Genomic DNA, 4,415 nt, shown 5'->3' with positions numbered 1-4,415 from the left:
AATATTCTGTTTCTGCTTTTGTAATAATTGTGGGAATCTACCAAGTGATTTTGATACATGCACAAACCTGATATTTTTTAAGGTAAGACTTAATTAGTGGTATATGAATGTTGGTGGGTAAAATATTCTCCTCTTTTTGTCTCAGATTAAGACTTCAGGTTAATTTTCCCGTGCCCTTAACAGTGTCTTGAGTGGAATCATGCCCGAATTTCCTGCAATCATAATACATTCAATAACACAGATTGATTTTGCTTTCCTCCCTTTAACTCACTCTTTTAGTGTCCATTGATTTTTATTCTTAGGGGTCAGTTCCCAAGATAAACAATCTGCCTGCAAGTACTTGTCTAAATCTCACCTTTTTAGGAAAGTCCAGGTTAAGAGAATGTGGGTAAAGGCCATAGAAAGCAAATCATCAGGATGGGATTCAGGATCTGAACCTTTCACTGGTCACATTGATAACAACTCTGTATCTGGAAAGTGGGAAGGTGACAACCCCTGACCTAAAAAGTCTCTATAAAGTTGTAATATTATTAAGAATCATTTGTGGTGGATTGGAATCCTGCATAGATGAAATCTGAAACTCTGGCTTCTGTAATAGTGGTGGCACTGAAATATTGAGCAATGGTATTTTTGTAGCTTTATTGAGGCATAGTTTATATACAAAACTGTGCATATTTAATGTCTACATTTAATGAATATGGATTTATTTATACACTCATTATACAACCACCACAATCAATATACTAAACATATCTATCATCACTAAAACTATCCTTTCCTCTTTTATGCCTCCTATTCCTCGCCTGAGGTAAGATCACTTTTCATTCAATCTATCCTCCTAATATATTTTATCTATTTTATGTTTTTGAGATGCAATCTTGCTCTGTTGCCTAGGCTGGAGTACAGTGGCATGATCTCCACTCACTGCAGCCCTCCTGGGTTCAAGCAATTCTCCTGCCTCAGCCTCCTGAGTGGCCAGGATTATAGGCACCCACCACAACACCCAGCTAATTTTTGTATTTTTAGTAGAGACGGGGTTTCACCATGTTGGCCAGGCTGGTCTTGAATTTCTGACCTCCAGTGATCCGCTCGCCTCTGCCTCCTAAAATGCTGGGATTACAGGCGTGAGCCACTGTGCCCAGCCTATTCTCCTAATATATTTTAAAGCAGGCAATGGTATTTTTAAGGACTGTGGAGTTAGCTGGATTTGGTTAGCAGTCTTTGAAGCCTTGAAAAGGAAAAATAAGTTTATGTTAATCAACTATTAACTCAAGGCGCTCTATGGCAGTGTACAAAGAGCACCTTTTCTTCTGTAACTGCAGGGCACAGCTTCAGAGGAGACTGAAGGCGTGGTCTCCACAGGTGTTCTTGGCCAATTTCAGCACCCTGGTAGAGAAAGAATGGGATTTTATGACCTCGAGTATAGCCATTTTGGCAGAAAAACCTGAAAAATCTCTAAACACTGGATTCTCTCTGACTTTACAGGATAGAAAGTGCAGTTTCCTCCTTTTTGTCAGGGTGACATCAGCCTCCCCTGGCCCAGAGAGTCTGTAAGAACCTCCCCTAAGTTAGGGAGCTCACAAACAGGGTTCATAAGATAAGGCACCATCTCTATCCTTGTCCCTGCGGATCAATGACTAGAATTGCTTTACATCATAATTTGAAAGCCAGGAGTAGTACATTCCTTGCTATTGTAAGAAATAGTTCATTCATTGAAATTGTTACTTAAACATAAGTTACACGTCTCATATTGGCAGGAATGAAGAAACACAGCTGGAGGATCTTGACATTATTGAAACAGATAGTGGAATAGAAGACTGGATAAAGGGGAACTTAAGGACATAGTGGTTAAGTCAACTCATATTTGCTGTATAATTTTTAGTGTAAAATGTTTATATTTTGGTTCATCACAGTTACTAAGTAAATACTAACAGCAAATTGGGAAATAAATAAATTGGAATTGGTTTATAATTAAAATGAGAAGTTTATAGTCCAATTTATTTTAACTTTTATTTTAGGTTCAGGGGTTGCGTGTGCAGGTTTGTTACATGAGTATGTTGTGTGACACTGAGGCTTGGGATATGAATGATTCCATCACTCAGGTAGTGAGTATATATGCAATAGGTAGTTTTTCAACCCTCAACCCTCCCCTTTCTTCCCCCAACCCCAGTAGCCCCCAGTGTTTATTGTTCCCATGTTCGTGTCCATGTGTAAAAATGTTCAGCTCCCACTTATGAAACAATGTGTGTGCAAATTGTCTTAGTTTAAAGAAGATCTTCTTGAAGATTTGAAGTAATATGCTTTCCATTCTCCCCACCCTGGGAGGATTTACACCAATGTGAGAAAAACAACTAAAACTGAAATAATTTTACTGGAGCTGCAGGATATTGTACGCATTGCCCAAATGATCATTTCCATTTCTAACATATGTTACCTTTGTCTTTATGAGTTTGGCTCAGAGAAGAGATAATGAATGACAGAAAGATAAAGATTAACATTTTAGTTTGAAAATCTGAATGTCAATTTGGAGAAGTATCATTCTCCCACTATAAAATATCGATTCAGAGAAAAATATTTGAATTCCTGTTTTCTGTTTAGAGTTTCATTCCTCTTGGGATATTTCTGAGGTTATCATAACACTTTAGCAACTGTTTTTTAAAACAGAGCCTTCTTATTCAGATTATTACATTGTTTCATGCTGATAATGATAGCACAGTTGTTTGGATTGAATCTATTTTACCAAACTAAATGCTTATATCCTCTCCCATTTTGACAAATTTCAAAGTGCCTCTCAATTGTTGCTGTAATCTTTAGATCCTGTGGAAGGTTTTTTCCACACTTTCAATACTGACCTCTAAAAGGTAAATCAGTATACTTCTTTAACACTCACAAATTAGTAATCATCTGTAGAATGCTTAGAATCAATTGTTAATTTTCAGCATCTTTTGACCATCACTGGTCTGTCTCTGACCTGTCTAGCTGTAGGGGATAAAAGCTTATAGCATGTGAGGTTGATTTCTTTGATTTCTGATTCAGTGGATATTATTCTCATCAGAACATTGAGAATGCTTTCAGCATCACTGAAACTTTAAGACAGTTGGCTCTCCCATCTCAGGTGTGCCAGGAGGCAGTGTATGTGTGTTTACATGAATACTAACCAACAGCTGTCCCTCTCCAAGCCTTTGTAGTACTATCTTCTCCCCATAAGGTTTTTTAGTAGGTTCCAAATTGAAGTCACTATGCTATATGTTGTCTACATCAAGCAAAGCCAACATAATATGTCATCTCTTGAGGAAATTACATCCGAATTCAAAGCTCATTGTGGCACACTTTTTCAACATTTGATATTTAGAAAAATACTAACATCTACGATTCTTTTTTCCTTGATTTAAAATGAGATAACTAAATACATTCTAGTATTAAGTGAGATACCGTATTTAAAGTGATTAGTGTCAAACTTTACATCCAGCAGTATTCAATAAACATTAACAGTCATCACTATTATACTGAACTAAAGCTCTTTGTCTCCAGATATTCTGCTCTAGCTAGAATGTAGAATTCGTAAGAAAAAATTGTTTCCATTTTTTGGAAATTGTTTCCTAGATAAATTAAAAGTCCTATGTTTTTAAAGGCAAAAAGTGCTGGTGATTCAAAAGACTCTTAATGATTATGTTCCAGAGAAATACCAGAAGTTTCTAGAAAAACAGAAACCAGTGATCTCTTCCTTCTCTCAGGCATATGTTAAACCTCGGCCACGGGTGGGTAGAGGATCAAGCCTGCCAAACTTAAAGGGACTGTTATGGGATAAGGAGAAACCAGCGGAATGGATAGCAACCATTTGAACTGATGTGATAGATTCGAGTATGTGGGATCCCAAATATACAGCTAAGTTTTTCCTGCCTGCCAGTTCTTTTTTACAGGACATTTTCTGAAAGCATAATAGAATTGAAGGCTGGAGGATGGATTGAAAAACAGAAATAAGTCTTTGAAGTCCTGCTGTACTTATATCACAACATCCTGCTAGATGTACGGAACCACATGTTATTCTTAAGAACAGGAAGCTAAAAGGAAACTGAAACTCACTCAGCAGCAAAAACAAACAGGCCAAACAACTCAGCTCAGCCCTGAAAGGATTAAAGTATTGTCCCCTGCGTGTAAATGTATATCAAAAGAGAAAAATATAATAGTATTTGGTCAAATTACAATTTTTTTTGAACACAATATTTGGTATACAAAAAACATTTACATAAGGGGCAGAAAACCGTAAAATTAATATTCATATTCAACAGTTAAATAAGAAAATGGGAACAGAACAACAAACAACCTAAGTGTTAGAAAAAACACTTTATAAAAATGATTACAAATAAGAGAAAAATCAGAGAGAAAAGTGGACAAAATCAATGAAAGTATTGGTC

At 36.5% G+C, this 4,415-nt stretch overlaps 2 annotated features.

The window, feature by feature from the left end:
* Window positions 4,000-4,059: an enhancer, noted in NCBI's record as "active region_28258". NCBI's record gives its function as "activates an Ori minimal core promoter by ATAC-STARR-seq in GM12878 lymphoblastoid cells {active_cell/tissue: GM12878}" and the evidence as "EXISTENCE:reporter gene assay evidence [ECO:0000049][PMID:35858748]".
* Window positions 4,090-4,159: an enhancer, noted in NCBI's record as "active region_28257". NCBI's record gives its function as "activates an Ori minimal core promoter by ATAC-STARR-seq in GM12878 lymphoblastoid cells {active_cell/tissue: GM12878}" and the evidence as "EXISTENCE:reporter gene assay evidence [ECO:0000049][PMID:35858748]".

This window comes from Homo sapiens, chromosome 9 (assembly GCF_000001405.40).
Source record: "Homo sapiens chromosome 9, GRCh38.p14 Primary Assembly".
Lineage (NCBI taxonomy): Eukaryota > Metazoa > Chordata > Mammalia > Primates > Hominidae > Homo > Homo sapiens.
This window is presented reverse-complemented; position numbering and strand designations above follow the sequence as displayed.